At 40.9% G+C, this 25,864-nt stretch overlaps 1 protein-coding gene across 31 annotated transcripts in view; it reads left to right on the top strand.

The window, feature by feature from the left end:
• The window catches only part of ENOX1 (ecto-NOX disulfide-thiol exchanger 1), a 573,843-nt gene that overhangs the window by 439,110 nt on the left and 108,869 nt on the right, over nt 1-25,864 (top strand). For 30 of the 31 annotated variants that reach the window (XR_007063686.1, NM_001347965.2, NM_001347963.2 and 27 more), the window contains 3 exons: nt 3,113-3,325; nt 21,338-21,444; nt 25,362-25,479. Coding sequence is in view for 30 of the 31 variants with exons in the window: in NM_001347965.2 (NP_001334894.1) it covers nt 3,113-3,325; nt 21,338-21,444; nt 25,362-25,479 (438 nt within the window). In the remaining variant the exon portion in view is untranslated. Of the gene's footprint in view, nt 1-3,112; nt 3,326-21,337; nt 21,445-25,361; nt 25,480-25,864 lie in introns of those variants that run through there. The other variant, XM_047430430.1, reaches the window with a different exon arrangement.

The raw sequence follows: 25,864 nt of genomic DNA, 5'->3' as shown, positions 1-25,864 counted from the left end.
GGAAAAAGCACATCTGCACATTCTAGCTTCTAAACTGCATCCAGTTCAGAGTTATGCCTGAGCATGTTCACAGAAAGTATTTGGAATTTTTATAAGTGCATGTTTGATGTGATTTTTACAAGCAGTGTTAATTTCTTTCCACATGAATAGCTTTAATAATGCTGCAATCTAAATCCTGTTTAAATTAGTTTATATTGTTTTCTGCTTTCTCAGTGATCTTTCCACTGAATACAAAATTGAATTTACAGTTGAGTATTGAAAATGACCGCTCCCAATATCCTCCTGTAGCCATCCAGAGGGAGTTACTGACTTAGTCTTAATTAATATAAATTAAAGTCACTTCTTACATGGCAACAAATATTGACTGGAGTTATCAAGCATGCCTTAACTAATGTTTTTTTAATTTAATTTGAATGTCAGTACATCAATCATATATCGGCCTGTCAGTTTCAGAAAGTTCAGAAATGAAGATGAAATTGGGAGTCTTTGAAACTATATTCCTCTTTTAGGCTAATGGAATTCTGCTTCCTAGTACTTGTTAACATGTTAGAAAATCTCTTGGCTACTTACTTTTGAAATTGTGTATTTTCAGTGGCTTAATCCTAAGAATATTGTTTCCTCTTTCTGAAACTATAATCTGCTGGTGAACTTATTGTGCTCTAGGTCTAGGTGTGAAGGGCAATAAAATGTGGCTTTCAGAGCATTTGAGCAAACATGCATTTTTAAAATTGAAGTGTTTTTTTTCCTGATAGTAAAGTTAGTCTATTTATGAACTAAGCGACCACAAGCAAGAGAAGGAAAAACTACCTGTATATGACAGAAAGAGGTGAACAGCATTACACTCTGTCCCTGCAAAGCTCATAACAAAAATGTTAAGGATTTTTCTTTCTCTGTGTTATGTAGACATGAAACTCACAGCAAAGGGGAAAAATAGTACATGAAGTCAGTGTTCTCTTTTTCTGTTGTTATCTTTTCAGAGGAAAAAAAAAAAGATTTCTTCTAAGCATTAGGTTTATTTCTGCTGTCTGTTCTGAGGTCCATTCTCCTAACATATATTGGTGGGAAGAGAGGTAGAGAGTGTGGAGGGAGGCACAATTTATTCTGCCAGTAACGGTTGCAGTGGGCCTCTCACAAACATCATGCTAAATTATGGGCCTCTCCATGGGCTGAACGTAATGTTAAGTTGTGTGATAGATTTTATCTTACACAAGCTGCTTCGGTCCATGAAATGAGATAAGAAACCATTGCAGCTGGAGTTCACTGAGGGTTGAACTTAGACTGAAATTCCAGAGTTAACAAAATGGTATAAGTGGCTACGATACTCAGTAAGTGTGTTCTGTGCCTATGGGTTGAGATTTTCAAGGAAACTTGAGTCTGTCATTCACAGGGTGTTTTGTGGGCATTCCCAGGCCAGTTATCTCCTCTGGTTAAAGTGTGAGGGCAGGGGGGCAGGTTTGCTCAGAAAAAAAACCTTTGATCCCCAAATCTAGAAGGCTGCTGTGCAGCAGGAGAGGACTTAGAATGGTGCCTGAGCATGGGTACATCCCTAAAAGCTGCTTTCTTTCCTGGGGAAGGCAGAGGTTTCCAGAGTTCAGCCGTAGGACCTTGAATTAGGTTCAGCCCCACCTTCATTCAGGACACACACCTCCTGGGCAAGCAGCAGCCATGCTAAGGAAGCTGTACTCCTGGTCTGGGAGGAGGTCTTTGGGAGAAAAGATACTAAAGATGTTTGTAAAGCACCCTATAAATTTACAAAGCACTCAACGGTGGGAAGGTTTCGTATGATGTGTAAAATACTAATAAGAACTCAATGATTGATTTTAAAATCTGGTGAGTGAAACGAAATCTTTTTCTCAAGCATGCATCTCCCCCTGTCTATTCATGTGGAGTGTATGTATGTTTATATGCAAACAACATAAGGATGTCTCCGATGCCCCTCCAGTGGAGGGGACAGTACCTGGCACACAGTAGGCACTCAGTATTTTTTAAATGAATGGGTGAGAATCTGAATCTTTCAATCTAATTTTGCTCCTGATTTTTAGAATTCAGAGTCTACCTAGTTTACTTGTAAAAATGTAGGGTATTTTTCCCTAAAGCACATTTTCTAGGGATTGCAGAACACAATGAAAAGCTTCTCCCCTCAGGTTTGCCTGGAAAGTAGGCAATGAGCCTTCAGCAGTAGTCAGATTGGTTAATGTTCTAACAACTGACATACAACTTCCAGTTCTAATTAACTTAATCACCCACAAACTTTCTTTTTCTCCACCTCCAAGCCATACAACACGGGTTTGTTCCAGTAACCATCCCCAAATAGGCAAGTCTGTTTTCTTTGAAATAGACTTTATCACTTATTTTCAGGCGGAACTTCATTTCCCACTTCCTATCCCCCCGCCACACCATGCACATACATCTCAAACTGGGTTCAGATGGGCTCTCCATAGCCATCTAAAGCAAACACGGAACACTTCAGGAAACATGTTCTCTTTTGTGGAAAATTAGGAAATATTCTATTTTTCAGCCTAATTAAATATATGGTATTAGCCCTAAAATGGAATTAGTTTTGAACTACAGTAGAACAAGAATTGACTTATTCCTACTACCTGCCTTAGGGACAATACCATACATTACAAACACTTTTAAAAAAATCCAATCTTTCTTCCACATTTTAATACTAACTCAGCTGATTCTATAAATGAGAAAACTGGTAACACTGTATAATATTTTTGATAAAGGAACAAAGAAATGAAGTGGAGGCCAAGTAGGTTAGTAACAGTTTTTCAAGTCCATCTTAAGAAAGAGAAATCAAGGTTTGGTGGAAGAATGAGGCTGTACCTTATTCCTAAGAATGCCCAGAACAAATCTCCTACAGCTGAGCTCATGGAGTTGGTAGATGAGAGTGTGAACCTCCTGAGTGGTTCTGTGGTGCCCTGAAGTTAGATGGGAAAAGAGAAGTTAAGTGATGATATGGCAGTCAGTCTCAGGAAAGCTAACTTGCTGAGTTCTGAAAATATATCCACTAGGTTGGACTATGCTCTGTCTTTTGAGAGGAACAAGAATAAAGTGTATTTTCTCATCTTGGCATGATTTGTACTTGGTGGTTTTCCATTTCCAGATGATAGCAAGTTTTCAGAGGCTATCACAGTGCTGCTTTCCTGGATTGAACGAGGGGAAGTGAATCGGCGCTCTGCAAACCAGTTCTATTCCATGGTGCAGTCGGCCAACAGCCACGTCCGCCGGCTAATGAATGAAAAAGCCACCCATGAGCAAGAGATGGAGGAAGCCAAGGAGAATTTTAAAAATGCCTTAACTGGGATTCTCACTCAATGTAAGTAAAATTTTGGGGGCCATCTCTTTTGTTGTGATTTTGCCTTTTCTTTTTTATTAATTTTACTTTTTCATTTGGGGGTAAGTAGTTCAATAATTTCCCATTTTTACTCCATATTGAATGGCAAACTTCATAACCTATTTCATGTTCTGTGGCAACTTGGAGGAACACGGACCCTGCCCTGAGAGTTTACTTCTCAAGGTGAGCAACGTTTCTGTAGCTTTTCCTCAGAACAGCAAGCCTGGCCACCAGGGCAGGGCAGCTAGATGCATCTGTGCCTGCTGGACCCACCATGGTTCATATCATAGCTGCAGGGCCGCCACCGTTCACCTGCAGGCTGTCCGCACAGACCCCTATGTCCTCCTAGTGCTGACAGTAGAAAGCAAACTTGAACACATTTTCCTTGGGCTCTGTGTAGGAAAAGGGTACTATCAGAAAAACTCCTCAGGATCTTTTATCTGGGGGAGCTGTGGCTGTCAAAATGGGCAACTCAAGAGTAGAGATTTTTTTGTCCTTTCTTCATTTGGAAAGCAAATTGCCTTAACTACTCAATGCCAGTGATTTTTTTTTTATGTCCAGAGTCTAAATGATGAAGGGGTGTAAGTGGGGCTTTCTCTTAGAACAATAGTCAGGGTAATTACCCAGGGCTCTATTCAAAAAAAGGGCGTATATTTTTTTTATGGGCACTCTATCTGTGTCTGTAGTTAATGTCACAGTGGCATCATGCATCACAGCTGCCGATGTTCTCTTGCTTGGTAAAAGCCATTGAATGACACTGTAACAATGCCATGCTCCATTCCATACCAGGTGCAGGGCCCTATGTGGTAGTGACATATGGGATGTATATTTCCATTCTGAAGATAAGTACTATTTTCTGTGATATAGTGTGCCAAAATGCCTATCACCTCTTTCATCAGTGCAAACACAAGGAATAATGTATCTGTCAGGATAGGATGGAAGAGAGGGCAAAACTGAGATCTTAAATGTAAAAGTATCTTACATGACTTTATCAAAGACAGGTTTTACAGCAGCGTAGCATATGATATAACAAATTCCCAAATGTAAATTCCGATAAGTGATCAAATATCCAGTATAAGACCAATCTGTCTTTAAAGAAAAGGAATAGGAAAAATAAGACTTCTGTCTTCACACAGACTGATACCAGACCACATTACCTAGATTCACCAGCCTTGAGGAATGGCCCTTTACTTAAGAGTGTATGTCTAGAAACTCTAAGGTTATTAGGGATAGAATTTTTAAAAAGCAATATTTACAGCAGTTTTTAAAGGAGGGAAGAAGAGAATGGATCAGTGGATGGAGGGAAGGTAAGAGTGAACTGGTAGAGAAAAATGAGAGAGAGCATAGTAAAACAATTCTAATAATACACTTTCTTCAGAGTTATGGTAAGAAGTCATATGCCTGAACAGTGAAATGATTACTGTATGTTTTTATCTTTTGCTCACTGGCATCAATTTTAAATAAGTTCTAATTTCCATGCAGTTTATAGTCCTAATGAGCAAGGAAGACTCAACCCTTGGCTCTAACAATAAAGATAAGAGGGCAGCCATGAATAGGTGAGAACTTCGTTTTCTTTGGCAGTAACTATTGAAAGAGGCACCTATTAAAATGCCCCTGTGATGTGGCTGAAAGAACGCAAAATGTCTACCTGTCATTATATAGGTGTAAGTTGGCCCATATTTGAAGCAACTGAGAGAGGGACAGAAAAGTGTAGTATGTGGGACTACAAATACTTTTTGGTATTACCACCAAATTGGAAAATGACGTGGAGATTTACAGCAATAATTGGCTTCTGAATGTTGGACGTTGTGTTGAGCATCCAGCCTCAGGCAGCACTGAAGGCCCCAGCCACATTACCTGGAGGCTACACTTTGGATGCCTAAACAAGGGAGTGGGTGAGCAGAACAGGCACTCCCCCTGGGCAGGCTGGCTCATCACTCCCTGAGAAGGAGTGAATGAAGGGGTGGGGCAGGACCAGCAAGATCCTGTCTCCTGGAAACCACAGGAGTGGAGACTGCCTCTTAGGCACCTCAACTTTGAAATATCAAAAGTGGAATCCTTGCTTTTAATCTTCAAACCTGCTCCTCTTCTGGTTTTTCCTTCCCATTCTCATAAATTCTCAAGCCAAAGTCTTGTACTTTTTATATATCTGCCATCTCCCACCACCACAACTGACTTCTAGGTCATCAAGAAGTCCCATTGTTTCTTCCTTCAAAAATATACCCCGATTCGGCCCACCCTTCTTCATTGTAACCGCCACCACCCAAGTCAGGCTTTGGTTACTTGATGTGTCAGTTAGACACGGCATCCACATGTGAGTAACAGAAAATTCTGCCAAACGGTATCTGAAACAAGTAGAAGATGTTTCTCTCTGGACACAGTAAAATCCAGATGTGGGGTTTGTTGGTACTGGTCCAGTGGTTCAAGGCTGCCAGGTCTGAGGTCTCTCTGGTGCTATTCGCTTTACCTGGATAGTTGTCTACGATGGTTGCTGCTGCTTCGCCTGCCATCACATCTTCTTTTTCCAGCTGAAATCACATAAGAAAAGAGAAGGAAAGACACAGGAAGGAGTTGCGTCATTATAGCAAGAAAGCAAACTTGCCCAAAAATCCATCCCCAGCCAACTTCCATGTAGGTTTCATTAGGCAGAATTATTATACCTGGCCATGCCTAACTACAAAGAATGCGAGAAATATAATTTTTGACTGGGCCTGCTGCTCTCCAGAGTAAAATTGGAGTTCTCATAATAAGGCAGGAGTGGAGAATGGCTACTAGGAAGAATTTTGCAGTTTTTGCCATACAGAGTGCTTCCCTTTCTACTTCTACTCTAGTTTGATTTATTTTCACATTCCATCTGATACAAATCAGGTCATGTCTTCCCCAGTAAACCGTTTGAGTATCTCCCCATTGCATTTAGAGAATATTCACTGTCCCTAGCTGACAGAGCTCTCTGTGCTCACTTCTTTAGCTTCAGTTATCCTCAGACTCACCATGCATCATTTCCACTGGCCCCTTTCCCCCTGAGCCCATCAAAACCACCTTCCACCACTCGGCTTTATACGTTCTGTTCCTTCTGCCTGGGGTGCCCTTTCCCATACTCTGTGTGCTTGACTTCTTCTTATCCTATAGGTCTTGGATCAAGAGCCACCTCTTCAGAGAGGTTTTTCTGGTCCACCCTCTTCTAGTAGATTTGCCATCACTGCATCTCTCTCTTTTTTTTTTTTGAGATGGAGTCTCACTCTGTCACCCAGGCTGGAGTACAGTGGTGCAATCTCGGCTCACTGCAACCTCTGCCTCCGGGTTCAAATGATTCTCCTGCCTCAGCCTCCCGAGTAGCTGGGACTACAGGCGCCCGCCACCACGCCCATCTGATTTTTTGTATTTTTAGTAGAGACAGGGTTTCACCATGTTAGCCAGGATGGTCTCGATCTCCTGACCTCGTGATCTGCCCGCCTCGGCCTCCCAAAGTGCTGGGATTACAGGTGTAAGCCACTGTGCCCAGCCCACTGAATCTTTATGAAGGTCCTTTGTAACACTTATCCAAATGAGTAGTGATTTCATGATATGTCTGCTTTTAGTTATTATAGCAGGCATCACAAAGGAAGAGACATCAATATATATCAAGTCATCAATATATATCAAGCCTTATAACATAGAAATATGCAAGAAATATTTGGTGGATGAGTGAGTGAATGAATGAGTAGATCAGAAGACAGGCAGGAGGGAACCCTGAAACAGTGAGTTCAGAAATTTCTGGTGACCTCGTTGAGTAGTTTGGCATTGATATTAGCATCATCTGCAGGAAACAAGGTTTCAACTTGCATGCATAATGAAGCAAATCAGAGAAAAAGCTCAATAGCTGTACTTTTTATTGGAAATTGCCACACTTTACCAAATTCTTGGTCAGAGGCTAGGAAATATTAGGAGAGTTGGGGTGAAAGAATCATCAGAAATTTACGTTGTAGTATCCCCAATTGTAACCATCCAACAACCTCTGTATTTACCATCTGCCTGTTACTATTTGGGAGTCCCCCTTAGCCCTGTAATTTGATTCTGAGAAGTATTTCAGCAGTTGGCAGATATCAACCGAGATTGTGAAAATCCTACAGTGCTGGCCACGGTGTACACATCCCAGCAATGGAGACTCTGAGGAGCCTTCCTGTGAGTCTTTGACAGCCAAGATCTTTCAGGATGACTCGAAGATGGGGGATACCTTAAATGTGAGCCTGGGCTAGAATTAAGCCTGTGAGGCAGAACCAGAAGATTGCATATCTCATTGAGCAACCTCAGAACTTTCCATTCTCTTCTATGTGCTTTTACAAAAAGGGCTGCAAAAAGGAACCCAGTCTGTGAAACTATTAGCAGTAACCTGACTAACATGGTAGGTACATACACATCTCCTCATCCTTTAATCCAAATGCCTCTCCTTTCCTGTCCCGAATTTCCCTCTCTCTAGTGGAGCTATGTTTGTGTCTCAACTGTACTTCTTGCTTTCCACAGCTCTGTTCAGTGTGGTAAGATGTGTTTGATGTCAGGACTTTGGGGATGCTTGTAAAACAATAACTGCTAAAGTCCTCAGTGACTGACACACTTGCTGCATTTTCCAAAAGCAGAACCAGTCACACCCCATTTGTCTGCATTAATATTCCTGGCAAATACCACAGGAATCACATTTTGGCTTCTTCCCTTAGAATGAGATTAGAATTGTTAAGCATGAGTATTCAGGAATTGCACCTCAGCTTTCCTTCTCCCAGGTGGCTGGAAATCTCCTGGTTATTCCATAGCAGCCCCAACTGCTCCCTCTCCACATAAAGGATCTCCTTAGTGTCAGTGCCGAAAGATCTCCCCAGTGTCAATGCCGTCCTTCATGGCATTCCATGGTAGCCTGTCCACTAAACAGCCAAGCATGTTGGGAAATTGTTGTGAGGTGGTTTGGAAGCAGGTGTATTGGCAAACTGGCTAACTAGTGGAGCAGGCCGCAAACAAGCCAAACACGGAGGGCTCACTCCGCAGCTTCTAGGGAAGATCAGGTACATTGCAGAATTCAAAGCATGGTAAAAGCATGTGGGTCCCCTTATGGATTTGGCTGGAAATAACCAATTGGTTGAATAGGACAAGGGAAACTTCAGATGTGATCCATGAGCTGGATTAGATGCACCTATCTCCTTTCTGTGCTTGTGTACTTGTTCTTGCTTTCATTTGGAAAGGATCCATAGGCTCAAATGTTTGGCCTAGATTGCTCTCCAGCCACCGTTCCTGAAGTTCAGTGCTTAACAAAAGTTGTTTGAAAAACGTCACAAGTCATTCATAATAACATAAAGAAAAAGTTGTGATTTATTCAAAGGTCTCCATCAAAGTCCATCAGTTACCCTCTAGCTTTGTTGGTGTTTAGTTCTGCCCGTATTTATGAAAGTTCTAACCTTTTTTATATCTCTGGTCTTCACCCCAGGACCAGCTATTAAATATCAAACAGTCATTGTTTTTAGCAAAGTCTTAGCTTAAAGTGTCAGGGGGCTGTAATTAAACCCAACCCGAGGCCGGGCACGGTGGCTCACGCCTGTAATCCCAGCACTTTGGGAGGCCAAGGCGGGCGGATCACGAGGTCAGGAGATCGAGACCATCCTGGCTAACACGGTGAAACCCCGTCTCTACTAAAAATACAAAAAATTAGCCGGGGGCAGTGGCGGGCGCCTGTAGTCCCAGATACTCGGGAGGCTGAGGCAGGAGAATGGCGTGAACCTGGGAGACAGAGCTTGCAGTGAGCCGAGATGGCGCCACTGCACTCCAGCCTGGGTGACAGAGCGAGACTCCATCTCAAAAAAAAAAAAAAAAAAAAAAAAAAACCCAACCTGAATTTTGGGGAGTATGGCATCCATTCACTTCTGTGTAGGGCGATTTTTCTCTTCTGACCATGGATGTCCAGTTATGAAAAATGTTAGATGAGGACATCGTCTATCCTGCTGTGGCACCTGGGGCTTTCTCCTCCCTTCTGGGCCAGCTGGATAGACCTCATTTCCTAGATATAGAAGAAAGAGAAAAAAAAATTCGGAACAGGTAAATCATCTTTGTCATGTCACCTTATCCCGATAGCATCCTAGTCTCATCTTTATGTCATTTCTTAACCCGTCCATTTGCCAGAAACTTCCCCAGGTTTTCCAACTCGGAGACGTTGGAGTTTTTATCTTTGCTTTTTAAAAATGCATACTTCACAGAAACTCCCCATAGGCCTGCCCACTTTCAGTTTCTCAGTTATGAACAAAGCTTGTCATTTCAAAGCTCGTACAGGAGCTGTTTATAAAGTTCAGGAAGCATGGACTACCACATTCAGTTATTAATATGCATGCCAAGATGATAAGTTTTGCATGCCTTTTAACAATTACAACACACACATATCTAATAAAAATTTAAACACTCCATGATATCCCCATTTTGCTACTTTCCCAACATGCTTCCTGGTAAGAGAGAAGGGAACAAACTGGAGAAAAGGCAAATGGGAAAGCCAGCAGCAGTGCAGAAGGGTTGATTAACATTAATTTAAGAATATGTGCCATACATATAATGAGCATGGATAAAAAGCAGAAATTATAGAATGTTAGAGCTAAGAGGGATCTTAAAGGGTTGGGCCAAACCCTGTCATTTTACAGAGGAGGAAACTGAGTCTCAGAGAGCAGACGTGAGAGGCTTTGGTCATTTAGTAGTTTATGGGCAGTTTAGAACCAAGACTCTTGGCTCCTTGTACAGTTTGCTTTCTAAGTGTGTGTGTGTGTATGTGTGTGTGTGTAAAATGAAAATTAAGAATATTATAAATGTAAAGGTACAGCTTATAGGTAGAGTTGAAGAGGTGTGCTGTCATCACACTGAGTATAAATGCTGCTATCTGGCTAAAAAATGAAGTATTTGCTTCTGGCACTACCCTCTTTCCTACCTCCACACATTTGCTTGTGCTGTTTCCTTTGCCTGAACTATTTCCCCTCCTCCAAGTGCCAAAATTGAAGTCCACTTCTATCACATTTCCTCCATGAAACCTTGTTTATCCATTATAACCCATAATCATCTCCCTTTCACCTACCTTCTGCAGCGCTTGTTAATACTATCTACTTGAGGACTTACTTATTTTCTAATTATTTTATGTGCATCAAGTTTATTGGTTTGTTTGCTTGATTTTCCCTCTAGCAAGATTTTAGGCTAAATAGAGACATGAGCCACTTACTGTTCTCTTTTCTACCTCACTGTGCCACTTCTGGACCTGGCATAATTCTTGTAAGCACATAGAAGACCTAAGAAAAAAAATATTGGTTGTTGACCAATCACAGGTGGAAAGGAACGTGGTGCTGAAAATTGGGCTAGAACCTAATATTGCAGAACACAGCCTAAGTGTTTTTTAGTAAACCGTGATCTCAATGATCTTAGCTCTAATATGCCATTCTCTTTAAAGTGGAGCATACGGCATATACTTTAGTTGAGAATTTTACAGTAGGAGTATTAGAGTACCGTTATCAATATCATTTCAACCTGGAGATTGGAAAGGTTAGAACTGTCATGCAACTTTATACATTTGTGATAGGTAATGGCATCAGCCTCATCTTAGGTCTTAAAAGCTGCAAATGGTGGAAAGACTTTTGACAAGGCAGAGAGATCTGGTTCTAATCCAAGTTTGACCACTAATTAGCCTTGTGACTTTGGGAAAGTCTTTTAAGCAACTTCAGTCTCCTTTTTCTCATCTCTGTAATAAAAGGGTTTAACCAGTAATCCCTTAAAGTTCCTTTCCACCCTTAAGATTCCACAGTTCTTATGTCAACCATGTGGATCCTTTATCGTCTCTGGATATCTAAATACAGGTATCTTCCAGGACCCAACCATGAGGTTCAAAGCTCCTAAAGTGATCATAGAACAGGCAATCAGATATTACTCTGTGCAAATGTTCTGCCTATACCTTGCTGTGAAGGTTACTCCTCCTGGGCTACACTGTGAATTTTAAGCCACATTTCAACCCTGAGGTTATGTGCATTGCATTCTGCAGGTGCTGAAGATTGGTCAGAATTATTGTCAAAGACAGCTGCGCAGGGCACTGACAGTTCTCCACTGTCACGCCCTCATCTATCTTCTTGGGTAAAATTGTAAAAGCCTCAAGTGTCTGAATGATTAAATTCATTCCACAAATATTTATCAAGTGTCAAGTTGTGTGCTAAGTGCTAGAGTGAAATGTGAGGGGTTTCTGATCTCTGTGTACTGTGATCCCCCTTTTAGGCAGATTGGTGTCCTCGTCCACATTTCTTCTGCCTGAAAAGCTCTTTCTGAAATCATTTACTTCTTAGGAACATCTCAGCCAAACATTTTTTATTTCCACCAAGGGAAATTTGGCTTCTATGTCCCCTGCTGTCAAAAAGGAATTTTATGAAGTGTTAAAATGTTTGCCCATGTCTGTAGCAGTCATTGCTGTAGTTCATCCATGGGAAAAAATTCCCCATAACTGCTTTAGCAATGTGACAGGTTTTCTATTTCTCCTCAAAATTGTACTGATGGCTGTATTTGCCAATGCATTAAGTGCTGGAAACATTATTTCCATTTAAAAAAATACCTCTTTGGTCTCAGGGAATAAATATCCAGAGAAAATAATATGTATAAAAACTTCAGCATCAAGGATGAGCACAGAATGTTCTGTTTCACAGGATGCCAAAGGTGATGGTGGAGGACACTATGCCTGCCAGAACTGAAATGAGTCTTTTTTTTCTTTTCTTTTTTTTTTTTTTTGGTATCCTTCCTTTCAGTCTCGTGGAAAATATATACACTGAGTCAAATCATTATGTTTTTTTAAAAAAATCTTTAATAATACCAAAATGTAAGATAGAAATCAAGTCTTACACTCTGGAACAATAAAGAATTGGAGTGCATATTAAGTGAAATTCAGCAAATCAGGAAAGGTATAACTTCTGGGAGCTAAAGATGAAAACTCTGTCACTTTGATATGAGCCCAGGTCTAGGACTGGACTCTAGCCACTGCCCCACATCAGGCGAGGGGAATGTGTGTTGATAGCATTGGGGTACTCTGGGAAACAGTCTCTGAGCTACACTGGACAAAATCCATGCATAAAAAAAATTTTTACAAAGATTTTTTAAAGCCAAGACACTTTCAAATTGAGGAAAAGTAAGGTGTCAGTAAAGTTACTTTAAAGCAGAGATGATGTGTTCTTGACTCTGCGTAACTGAAAGAGAAGTACAACTTAGTGTTTGTTTTCCAACCAAAGAAAATTGTACCTGGGGAGAATCATGGAAGAGTAGCCACAGACAAAGTGAGAGGATTTCTATTTAAGGAGAGAAACCACTTATGTGTGTAGACACCTTCTATAGCAAGGTAGATGTATGACCTGCAAAGCCAAAAATAATTGCTATCTGTTCCTTTCCTTATAAAGTTTGCTAAGCCCTGTTCTAAAGGCTCCCAGAGCCAGAAAGGAGATTCAGGATGGTCTAGCCTAGCCCCCTTTGCCTTGGGATTCAAACAGATGGACACTTTCTTCAGGTCACACAGCTAGTTAGCGATGGAGCTAAGACTTGACCAACACAGATTTCCCAACTCTCTCTTCCCGTCTACATGCAACCCCCAAAACAGTGTTGTATTCATAAAAACACTCCCTTGGCCCCACTTCTGTAAGTTTCCCCTGCTGAGGCTTATTCAATGACTTTTATTTCAAAAAAAGTAGGACAGACTGGATTTTAGACAAAATGAGAAGGCTGAGGGCACACACTGAGAGAAATTGGTTCCAGCCTGGTAGACACAAAAAAAGTAGGGACTTTTTTTCCAGACACTTTGATTCTTCTGCACTGTGGCTCATGTTCCTCAATACACTTTTGTAGAGAGGTAAATGCAGCTTCCTGCTCCATCATAACCTCCAATGTTTGGCTTGTTTGCATTGAAAATTCAACTTAGCTGCAAGTTTCAGCCAAGGGGTCCTTTAAGCCTTTCTTGGCCTCCCTTGGCACCCTCTGCAGCTCTCTTAAGCAATTCTCATCTTGCGATTCAATCATATATATGTTGTCTCCCCCAGGGACTCTGAGCAGCTCAAGGACCAGCTGCATATTTGGCCCTTTTTATCCCCAGTGTGTAGTACAAAGTCTAGCACATTACACACCACAGAGCTCATAAGACTTTGGCCCATCATATAATGGGTATAAATACATGATTTGAAGTTGGACAGATGTAATTTCCATTGCCAACTTCACCACTGCTAAATATATGACCTTGGACAAGTAAATATTCGTCTCAGTGAACCTCAGTTTCTTCATCAATGAAATGGGCATTCATACTAGCACCTACCTCAGACAGTCGTTGCAAAACTTAGGTAAGATAATCAGAGGTTCTCAAACTTTAGCATGCCTTGGAATCATGCAGAGAGCTTGTTAAAGCAGAGTCTGTTGGGCCCCATCCCTAGAGTTTCACCTTTGGTAGGTCTGGAGTCTGAGTGTTTGCCTTTCTAGTGAGTTCTCAAGTGATGTTGATGATGCTGGTCCAGGGGCCACACTTTGATAACTACTGTTTTAAATCATCAAGCATAGTGCCTAGCCCAGTAAGGGCTAAGTAATTAGAAATTGCCTATCACAGGGCTGGGCACGGTGGCTCATGCCTGTAATCCCAGCACTTTGCGAGGCCGAGGCGGGTGAATCACTTGAGGTCAGGAGTTCGAGACCAGCCTGGCCAACGGGGTGAAACCCCGTCTCTACTAAAAATACAAAAATTAGCCGGGTGTGGTGGTGCGCACCTGTAATACCAGCTACTCGGAAGGCTGAGGCTGAAGAATCACTTGAACCCGAGAGGCTGAGGTTGCAGTGAGCCGAGATCATGCCGCTGCACTTCAGGCTGGGTGACAGTGAGACTCCGTCTCAAAAAGAAAGAAATCTCCTATTACCATTATATGATTTTCATAACCACTAAGGGAGTTAGTAGAGACTCAGAGGAGATCAGGGTTGCCGTTTCGAGGGTCACAAAGAAGAAAAGATCCCCAGAAACCAGGTCTCTCCTCCTGCTGCTATGTGATGACTTAGCATCGAGCCAACAACTGAATACAGGGCAGGCTCAATGAGTCTGGACTTGTTTCTGTTATTTGTAATGGAAACTGCAAACATACATATCACTGGTGCAGACAATTGGTTACCATGTAATTCATGCCTTCTGTCATCTATCAGGAATGGCAAAAGCTAAATTTGATTATGCACTGTTGGCAAAGGGTAAGAGAAACAAACTGAAAAACACTTCAGGGACATAGAGTGCAACTTGCCAGTACCTTTCAAAATTAAAAATTCAGGTGCTCTTTTATCTAGCCTTTCTACTGCTAAGAATTTTTTATAAAGATATTTATGTAAGGATTTCAGAAGATATGTTGGAAGATGTTTATAGCAGCCTTATTGATAACATACATATGAATAGATTTCCAAGATATATTAAGTGAAAAAACCAAGGTACAGAATAGCGTATATAATATTAGCACCTTTGTGTAAGTAAAAAAGGTTTCTCATAGAAAAATACACACTGTTTGTACTATATGCATAACCTTATTTTCTGGATGGATGTGCTAGGATCTGTTAATAGTGGTTACTGGTTACCTTTAAAAAGAGAACTTGGTAGAGTTGTCAAGATGGGAAGGTAGACTTTTTTTTTTATATCGTCCCTTTTTTCTTCTGTATATACATTACTTTCATTTAGTCAGTAGGGGTAATCTAGGCAGGAGATTTATTGGATTTAAAAAGCTTAATAAATGCTATATATTTTGAGGAACTATTAGATTTATAATCTCATGTATTGCTTTACTTTCCAAAATTTTTAAATATATGCATTAATAAAGGGCTCTACAATTCCCTGGAGTATACTTGGAGTGATGCAAATCTTTAAAAGTCACTATATACCTAATATCTTTCTGTTTTATTTGAACAATTTGATCATTTCTTGCTTGCTTGAAATTTGCTTAAAACATCCTGTTTTTTTATATACTGTGATCAGTAGGCTTCTCTTTATTCTATTCAAATTCCATTCCCTAAAACAGAGGTCCCCAGCCCCTGGGCCAGTACTGTCCATGGCCTGTTAGGAACTGGGCCGCACAGCAGGAAGTGAGCACCAGGTGAGTGAGCATTGCCACCTGAGCTCTGCCTCCTGTTAGATCAGCAGCGGCATTAGATTCTTACAGGAGCGTGAACCCTATTGTGAACTGTGCATGCAAGGGATCTAGGTTGCATGCTCCCTATGAGAATCTAACTAATGATGATCTGAGATGGAACAGTTTCATCCCCAAACCATCCCCAACCCCCTGTCCATGGAAAAACTGTCTTCCACAGAACCATTTCCTGGTGCCAAAAACGTTGGGGATGCTGCCCTAAAAGCAACAAATATCTGGCCTCATCTAGCCAGGAAGTTCAGTAATATGATGTCTGCTGTTGGTGTCTTGGCCTCAGTTTTAAGTGGGCTGTAATGGACTCACAATGTCATGTGAGGCTTTTTTTAACATATCTCAAGACAAAACCCCAGAATGCCCTTTTCTTCCTCTATTTGAAATTCCGGTCCATCCCTCCTTAAAGTATGGGTTTGACCGTATTCATTCTCTGTTTCCTGGGCTTTCTGCCAGGCTGACTGCCAGCTCCTTCATGCTCAGGACCCAGAACCCGAGTGAATGTGCAGGAGTCTGTCTGGGAATCTCTTTTATAGCAGCAGCTTCCTCTTATGTGCTGTCCGACACATACCGCTTCTCCCTTGGACCTTGTCTTGCTCCTCTGGGTATCCTGAGAGCTGGAATCGCTTACTGCATTCCCTCCATTATAATTCTTCAGTCTAAAGCCAAGGCTCACCAATTCCAGCACTACATCTAAAGCCTTACACTTTTCTTCTGTCCCTTCTCCCCTAGCTATTAGTATTTTAAAACAACAAAAACAAGCTGGGGTGGGAGAGGTCACCTATTTCATTTGTGTCATATCCCTTTGAAAATCTCTCATGGGCTATTCATAGAGGATTTGGGAAAATGTTATCCCTTAAAAAAAGAAAAATGTCCTGTGTACCCTGCAGAGTTGAGGCTCTAACATGAGCCCAGATAGCATTAAAAAACAAAAACTAAGCTTGGAAGATTTGTTTGAGGTGCTTTATTTAGGCAAGCCTACTGCCTTTAAGGACTAAATCAGTTTCTCCAGATATTTGGGACACTAACTGGATTAAGGCTCTTTCACCGCTATTTAGCTGGAACAAGGAATACAAGAGGTGCAGGGCCTGTGAGAAAGAAGGCAGTCGGCAAGACATGAAGGGAAAAGGGCTGTGTTCGTGTTCTCTAGAGGACTCTAACCTTTCTCTTTCATCTCCCATGCATTCCTGCCCAGAGCTTGAAATTCAGGAGTCTTGTGCAGCCCAGAAATCTGAGCTTTTGCACCCAGTGGCTGCTTTTTCCCAGGGAGCTTGCTTCAGTGTGGTCTGTTCCTGGATAAATGGATATTCTGTTCTGAGCTTTCCCTCCCAGAGAAGGCTGAAGACCAGCGCTTCTCATGATAGTCTGTAAAGTTCTCTATCAGTAAGAAGTGTGCTCTAAACTCAGCAAATGTCCAAACATTTTGGGGTGGGGAAAAGTGCAAAAAAAGTTGTTAAATTAGTCTTATGGGTTTGTTTAAAATTGGAAGAATATATACATATATGTGTGTAATGTGTGTATGCTAGGTGCGTGTATGTATCTCCACACATACATATGTGTAAGCTAATGAATAACCACTAGTGAGGGTTTGCAGCTCTGTGGAGTGATTAGCAACTTCATCAAGGCTCTGTTTATCCTGCCCTTAAGGTCATTTACAGCTGCTGGGTATACTAGGGGCTCTACTGTGATATCTAAAACTGGCATTCAGGCATACTTCTGAAGAATTTATCATTTTTAATTTTCTTATGATCCTCAAATAACCTAATTTAGGCAAACAATTAAAACACAGAATTGGGGGGGAAAGATTTGCAAAGTGTGAGGGGTAAATTTAAATTTTCTGATGGAGAGCTCTTTCAGTTGCTAATAGAAGATTTGGGAAAATGTTATCCCTCAAAGAAAAAAAATTCCCTTTACCTGCAAAACTTTTGAGTATACTTTCTTGAATAAGTAAGTGGCAATCAAACAGAATCTATGCTTTTTATCTGATACAGGATTGTGTGGGGCCTCTGGCCACCACTCTGTGGACCACTGAGGTGGTGAAGGCATTGGGTAGGGAGTAGGTCTCAATTTGTTCTGCCTGCAGCACAACTTCTATAAGCTACTTGCTTTGAACAAATGCCAATGCCATCTTGTTTGCTGGTTATATCTTTCTCTGAGAAGCAAAGTTTTGAAGAGCCTGTTCTGATAGTAACTTCTTAACAGGTTTTATTGTATATAGATAGAGTAAGTAGTATGAATTATACCAGAGAGGTAGTCAGTGGTCATCTAATTCATGGACTTCCTCTCTGGTGTTTCCTGCTATAAGCAATGAATAGTGTATTTACATCAATACCAGTAGTCATCCTGATTTATGAGCTTAAAAGTATGCTGTCTTTGAATGACATTCATTAGGGCATACTCTTAGAGGTGCTTTTTCCCTAATGATGATGAATTAATGCTGATGAAAGCACTCCTCCAGAGTCCTTTTTCGTGTGTGCCCAGGAACTTTCATTTGCAAGACAAATGGCTGGTTCAGGGACAGTGTGTGCAGCAATGAGAGAGGTAAAACTGGGCCGTGTGAATACTGTGAGAGTGGTTTCCAAACCTGAGTTACACAGTTATTGGGGTTTTGTGGGATTTTATTTTGTTTTGTTTTTGTTTTGCTTTTTGATTGGTATAGGGAAAAAAAGTGTATAAGTTCATAAGTATAAAATTAAATCCCACTTAGTTTTACATCTAATTAATTACCCTATTGAAAAAGAATACAAGAAATGGAGAATGGCCCAGAAAATGTTGGCCATATCTCTTTGAATTCTGACTTCTTTCTGAACCCCTAATCCATATTTCAGCTCCATTTGGATGGTCTTCAGGCATCTCAAACTCAATACGTCCAAAAGTAAATTCCTTATCTTCTTTCTCAGCCCTCCACCGATGCTTGTTCTCATAGTTTGGGATGTACTTACCAGCTCCAGTCATCGTGGTACCTCGCACCCCTCTTCCTCCTCCCATGTAGCAAGTCAGCTGCCTCCTCCTATCAAGTCTCCCTGTCAAATGACTGCCTGTGCCACACTCCATGCCAGAGCCTCTGCCTTAATTCATTCCTTTGTAATTTCTCCCAAGCCAATCCTACAATATAAAGTTCCCAATCAGAGTTAGCATACATGGTCTCTCTTGATTCATACCTAACACTAGCCCCAGCCCCAGCCCCACAGCTACTTTCACTCATCCTCCCACAACTCTATACCAGCCTTTGAACAGGCCACTCCTGCCTTCTCTGCCAAGCAGGCATTGCTTCACTATTTAAGACTTGGCAGAAATGTTGCCCTATTTGTGGAATGTTTTCTAATGCCACCTATCTACTTAGCTACTCTCTTCTCTTCTCTGTGTCTTCAAAGCTGTCATCTGCACCTCTCTTGCACAGGATAATTATCTGCTTGTCTTTCTTTCTCTTCCGAGACTATGATTGCATCAAAGACAAGACTGGGCCTTGATCATATATTTCTAGCAATTAATCAAGTTCCTGGTAGCTAACAGGAATCCAGATGTTTGTTGAATGAATGAATGAACTGAACTTATGCCTTGGGATATGGTAATAACATGTTCTAAGTAACCGAGGCACTTAGCCACAAACAGGAAATATCTAATAGCACATGGCTTGAGTAGATATTAGGGGATCTCCTTTTACCCCTAAACCTGTGCACTATTGGGCCATTGGGTCCTTCTTCTTAGTTCTTTCTTTTCTGTACTCCTCCAGGTGCATTACTAGTCTTCCTTACCTTCATTCTCTCTGGCCCCTTACACGTTTTTATGAACAGATATACTTTTCTTTAGTGTTTCATTTTTATTAACAGCCTTCTCTGATTGATGTCAGAATTTTCACTATTACCAACCAAACACTCAGTCTCAACCCATATTGTCCTTTCCCCTTAGGACTGGTGTCAGGACATCATAGTTCTTCCTCTTCTAAATGATGCCAAAGAGCTATGTTATTATAAGCAACGAAGCCCATTACTCTTTAATAACCTCTTGATCACCACCCCTGCCAGCCTAGATTTGGGGCTGACTGTTCTGTGTTGCCCCTACAGAAGGCAGCTGAAATTCCCAATGATCCCAGCCTGTGTACAGACAAAACATGCAGAAAGCCCCGGTGATCCACTGGAACAGGTTCTCTCCTCTGCCAGCTGTGCTGCAGGACAGCCAACCAGAGCACTAAGGATCAGTGGTCAGCTGATGGCCAGCACTTAGAGCAGCCCCAGGTGTTTAGTCTGGAGTTTAGTTCTTCCAGTTGAGGTCGAGGAGGGAAGCCACATGTGCCCAAGGAGAGTATGAGACAAATTGAAGGCAAATCCTCCTGTTAAAATTGAGTCAAATAAATTCATCATGTGACATGATGACAGGTTTTGCTAAATAAGGAGATTTGGGGTTGGGATTCTCCTGAAGTGGAAAATAGTAAAAATATTAATAGCAAAAAGATAAAAGCCCTCTGTGAAAATCAGCCATAGATTGAGAAGTAGTTGTTCATCAGCATAGAAAAGTATTCACGATATTGTAAGTGAATGGAATCTGCTTTTTTCCTTCTGCTCCATCATACATTTATTTTGTGTGCTAATTTAAAAATTATGGCACCAAGTGTTGTTCTTCTGTGGGGATTACTCTATTGCTCTTTGACATTCTTTGGACACCAGAAGATTTGGAAGAGCTTTGATGTCCTTTTTTATAATAGAGCCTTGGGAATCACTTATGAAAGATTTATGTTGATGGGGTGTTAGAATCCTTGAGAAGCTAATTTTAACTGAGCCTTCTTAACTAAAAATTTAGAAGTTCAGGTTTAATCATATGATTAATTTAGTGCTTTAATTTCCTTAATCTCATGCTTACTGGATCAATAACTGTTTAAGCAAGATTAAGTCTACAGTTAGTTGGCTCCACCCATAATACCCACTACTAAGAGCCCATGCCTTTGTCTATGTAGTTTTGTTCATAACCCCTCAACATTTACCAGTCCAGTAGCACCAGGCCTGAAAGCAGCAGAAGTACTAAATTAAGTCAAGATAATAGAGTTAGAACTTCAAGTGGTCTGGGAGCCAGAGGGCGGGGAGCCTTGTGAAAGTGATAATGGAATGTGATCATGAGGAGCTATGGAGGGTGCCATATGGTGGTTGAAATAAGACCTGCATGCCAGTGCCACTGGTTGGGTGAGCTTTGGTCTGTCTTGAGGTAGAGGCTATGGTTCCTGTTCCCTGCCAGAGGGCTGGAGGGCTGGCTGCAGTCAGTGCAACAGGGGGAGGAAAAAGGAGCCAAGGAGGAAAAATGGCCCCCTGAGATTGAGGGGAGACATGGCACGGCTATTCATTGTCCCAATTTGGAACTTGGACATGATAATGTCTTGAGAGGACTGTGATTGAGTCCTTGAGATAAAGACCAAAAGAGAAAATGATATGTTTGGCTCTTCCTCGTTCAGCCACTTCTCCCTGACTTCACTTCTCTGCACCCAACCCTTGCATTACTTTGTCTGTATATCTGGATGCCAACACCAGTGTCTATATATCTATAGATCTAGGTATATAGATAGACCAAATCACATATTGAAACAACAGCTAAAGAATGCTTGGAAGTAGATGCCCTTGCCCTTCTCCCGGTCATACTTAGAATTTGTTTTAACCTAAAGTTGTGGAGACAGACTTGAAGGGAGACATCCCCAACCTTGCTAAAATGTAAGTACGAAAGGCACAAATTGGATGGATATTGATGATGTTGTTTCTATTGTGACATCATCCATAGACTCCTAGTGTCTTTGCTTTGCTTCCCTATAGTGATCACAACATAAATTACTTGTCTTGTTTGACTTCCTTGTTCACCAAAGTTGAGCAGATTGTGGCCGTTTTCAACGCTTCTACCAGACAAAAAGCTTGGGACCATTTCTCGAAAGCCCAGCGCAAGAACATAGACATTTGGCGAAAGCATTCTGAGGTTGGTGATTTTATTATTACTTTTTAACCACCATCACACAGCTGGATTGGCAGAGAATAGCATGGCTGCAGCCATGATGGTTTCTGTTATAGTGGGCAGTCCGCCTGCCATTGTCTGATCTCACTGTCAGCTCCAAATGCAGCTGAGATTTGTTCCTTGTCCAGAAAAGCAGCTGACTTAACACTTAGGGAACACAGTGTTTTTCTCCCCTGCAATGGGAGAAAATACTTTTTCCCATTCATAGTAAAGATTTCAGAAATAAACCAAGACACTTTCCCTAGCAAATTATTTTGAAGAAAAATGGAGCTTACAATAGAAAACTGGCTTTTAAATACAGAGGGTTTTTTTTTTTAGTGTTCTACGTGATGATGACAGTTTGCTCTTTGGACAAGTACGCCTTTCCGTCCATATTTTCTTATCATAAGCAACATCTTAGTCCCTATGCTAGCCATTAAGTCCTATTACACTTCTCTCCAGATCCAATGTTGTAAGGGGAGTGAATATCTAGGCCAACTGGGTCCACCCATCAGCAACCATGCATGTGTGAAGTGAGTATCTACCCCCAAGAGAACAGTCTAGAATTTGACCTCCTTGCCACTTAGAAGGACCAAAATGTGTCATTAGTCACTGGTCGTCCAGCTGTTATTTTTAACTCCACAGAGTAGTGTACGCTTTGAACCTGTAATTTAAAAGTAAGTATACTGTCTTTGCTTCTTTTTTTTAATGAAAGAATGTTTTTCATTTGGATGCCTCTCCATCTCTAGCATGTTAATATTAAAGTTCTCTAAATGACATTCCCCTCTTTCAAAATCCCAAACTTATGGAAGGTAAGGTTTATTTATTTAATGATTTTGGCTTACACTTGTAAAATAAGTATTTTATATAGAGTTTGAGGAATCACAAAGTACTATGATATCAATCATTTGGGTAGCATTTTAAGTGCCCATTAACTAATGCTAAATTACAGTTGAATACCAATAGCACTAGATGTAATATCCACATGAATACCAAATGAATTCTTTATTATCACTGTTATTATGGTGAATACCGAATGACTTCACAATAATGTGACACTTAAAATGCTAGTGCAATTTATTGTTAAGAAGGACATTTTTTAGTTTGTTCACTAATGCCTACGGTGGTTGGTGACTGATACAGTTCTGTTTTTCTGTTCAGGATTATGAGTAAGGAAGAGGTGGGATTTCTCTTTAATTTTTCAGGGGCCAGAAAAATGAAGGGTGCTTACCTGATGTTCTCCCTGACTCTGACTTAAGACTGAGGTCAAGGCTGATTTTCAAGATTAAAAAAAAAAGAGTCCTCTGTTTGTGATGCAGTAGACAAACTGAGGGTTATGAAAACACAAATTGGAGTCCATAAACTATGATTCAGATTTGGGAATGATCAGTCTGTGAATTATTTATTTTTTCACATAAAAACCAAACATGATTAAAAGGAATGTTGAGAGAAAGGCTGGTGGCCTGCTGCCGAATAAACCTGAGCATAAAAAGGCCATCATTAGAATGTGAGTGTCAGCAAATGTCACATATTGATCTGAATCACACTTCCTGCCATGTCTGCCTCAACTTCTCACCTTCGCTTAACCCTGCCTCCTCTGCGTGGGTGTGGTGGGGAGCAGGACGTGTGAAGGCTTCCATGCAGGTCTAAGGAGCCTGCTTGCTTTGTTTGGTACTAGGAGACAGAAATGATGCTCCAGAAGGACAGATGGAGTGCAGCTGTCAAAGGTGCTCCTGCGAAGGGTCTTTTTGCCTTCCTGCTACTTTCCCCACCTCTTTTGATATACATTAGGCCACAGAATTCTAAATTAGCTGTGATTTTCTCTTGCATGTCGCTGAATTGATTAAATACCAGTTGGTAATTTAACATTGTGGATGATTTCTCAGTTGCGTATAAGCTTGATAATTGGCTTGATTTTTTCCCACATTCCCATGTACAGCATCTGTTAATTATCTGCAACACCTCTACAGATTTATTAGAGTGTACTAGTGATTTAATGCTGAACCAGAGGCACCCTGTGGAAACACCCTCAGCTCTTTTTCCTCAATTTTTTTTTCTTTTCCACCACCCTTTCCCACAAGAACAACTACCATATGACAGTTTGTCATTAATCGCAGGGACTAAACAACAGTCCCTTTCAGCCTCATTTATTCTTTCCACCTGACTTTTCCTTGTTTCAAGTGTTAAGCCACCTCTTTGGGAATTGGGCTCTTTGTCAGTAGAAAAATTAGCTGTCCACAGCCTAAAAATTTCCGCACTAATCACATGTGACACCCACCTCCAATGCCTGATGGTGTTATTTAAGATGGAATTGGCACCTGTTTATTCTGGGTGGCATAATCAAATTAGGAGCCTTGTCTGCCTTCCCTCTGGCCTCTCAGGGCTGCCTGTGATTGGTGCCCCTGCACCCCACCTCGGACCTTGTCTCTCTGCTTTCTCCCTTCCCTGTCTTCTGCAAGGGTGATTCCCAGGGTACAGAGTTGACCATTCAAATGCTGTTAGCAATAAATACTTTCCTCTCCATCATGCTGTAGTTAAAATCTGTGAGCTAAGGAGAGAAAAGAATGGAGAAAACCCATAACATGGAGTGATATATGCATGTCCATCAAATGGGCACAAGTCATGCCCCTAATAAATCAGTTGTAGTAATTTAGTTTTATTATTACTCATATGTTTATTGATCATAACATGAAATTATTTTAACTATTTGATTTTTATTTAGAGACTTTACAGAGGGAAAAAGAATAATGGAGGCTTCCCCTGTTTTAAGTATTTCTGAAGATAGTACATGTAAGAGAACAGAATGAATAAGGAAGAATTCACAAATATGTAATATACAGCTTGATACAAAATAATAATATAAATACTTAGCATAAGTATTACAATGTTCAGATTTTAGGCACAGTAGTAAGAAATTTCCTGTGTAATTCTTTAATCTTTACAATGAGTTTTCACATATGCTACTACATGTAAACAGCCTTGTATTATTATTCCTCACTTGTGAGTGACTAGACAAAGTCTCAAATAAATAACTTGATTGTAGTCACTCCCCTAATAAATGGAGAAAGTAAGGTGTGATCTTAAGATCTGTGGCTCTAAATTATGTGATGCTAAAGCAACCATTGCAACAAAAACAGTAACCCCAACATGACCGTGTGCAATACGAAAGAAAGGGCATCTGTTTGTGTTTTGTTCCCTAACATCTTACTAATTTTGAATTTTGGATATCTGAATGGTGTGTGTGTGTGCCTGTGTGTGTATGTGATCACACATGGGCACATACACACATGCAGGGGCACTATGTTTGCATGAGAAATAATAATGTCCAGCATTATCAACTGAGCAAACCAAGTGTCTGGCATGATGCTAAGTACTGTACATTCATTAACTCATTTCATCCTCAAAACTATTTTTAATCATAATATTCCAGTGAGCAATTTAGGTTAATAGAGATGAAGAATCCTTCCTAATGTCACACCGTGTGGGTCAGTGGTAGAACAGTCCATTTTAAAATTCCACTGTTCATGTTCTTAACCATAATTTCTAAGTCCTTACTGTACATGTGCCAGCCATGTAACAGGTATTTCTATGTAATCTTTGCAGCCCTATTAGGTGGATGTTATTATCCGCTTTGTACAAATGAGGAAATTGAGACTCAAGAGAGATTAAATTATTTGCTAAAGAGCCCTAGTCATGGGTGAGCAGGGATTAATCTAAGCCTGACCTCAGTCTCCCCTGTACCCCACACCCCTCAGAACCTCCTTTAGGTTAGGTGAGGCTATATTTGGGAGATAAAAGCTTTGGATTCTGAATGTTAATATGCCAGTCATATATACCCAAAGACCATTGGGGAAAGCCATATGTGTCTGTGACTCTGACATTTGTGTATCCTCTACTTGCAGGAGCTCCGGAATGCTCAAAGTGAGCAGCTCATGGGCATCCGCCGCGAAGAAGAAATGGAAATGTCTGATGATGAGAACTGTGACAGCCCTACAAAGAAAATGAGAGTCGATGAATCAGGTAATGCCGATAACTGCCACAGACCCATGAGGTATCATAATGATCTTCCAAATCTCAGATGGGGAATAAGTAAATGGCCCTATAACTCACTTTTATTTGAATTATACTAAACTTTCATCTTTGAGTGACTCTGCTTTTTATTAATAGAACTTTAAACTCCTTCTTGGGAACAGAGTGATTTAAATTGCTCCAGTTGTTTCTCCGTACGTAGATCTGGGGCCATTAAGCTTTTTTCAGGGATATTTGCCTGTTTCCATGAAAATCCTTTTCCAGAGTACGGCAGCCACAGCTGATGCTAAAAATATGGATAAAATTTGGTTTTAGTCAGTGTACTTCTTACATGGGAATTGTTTAATCCCTGAAGAAGCTTTCTAGCTTCTGAGCC

This window comes from Homo sapiens, chromosome 13 (genome assembly GCF_000001405.40).
Source record: "Homo sapiens chromosome 13, GRCh38.p14 Primary Assembly".
Classification (NCBI taxonomy): Eukaryota; Metazoa; Chordata; class Mammalia; order Primates; family Hominidae; genus Homo; species Homo sapiens.
Note: the sequence above shows the minus strand (reverse complement) of the source record. Positions and strands in the feature narration are given on the sequence as shown.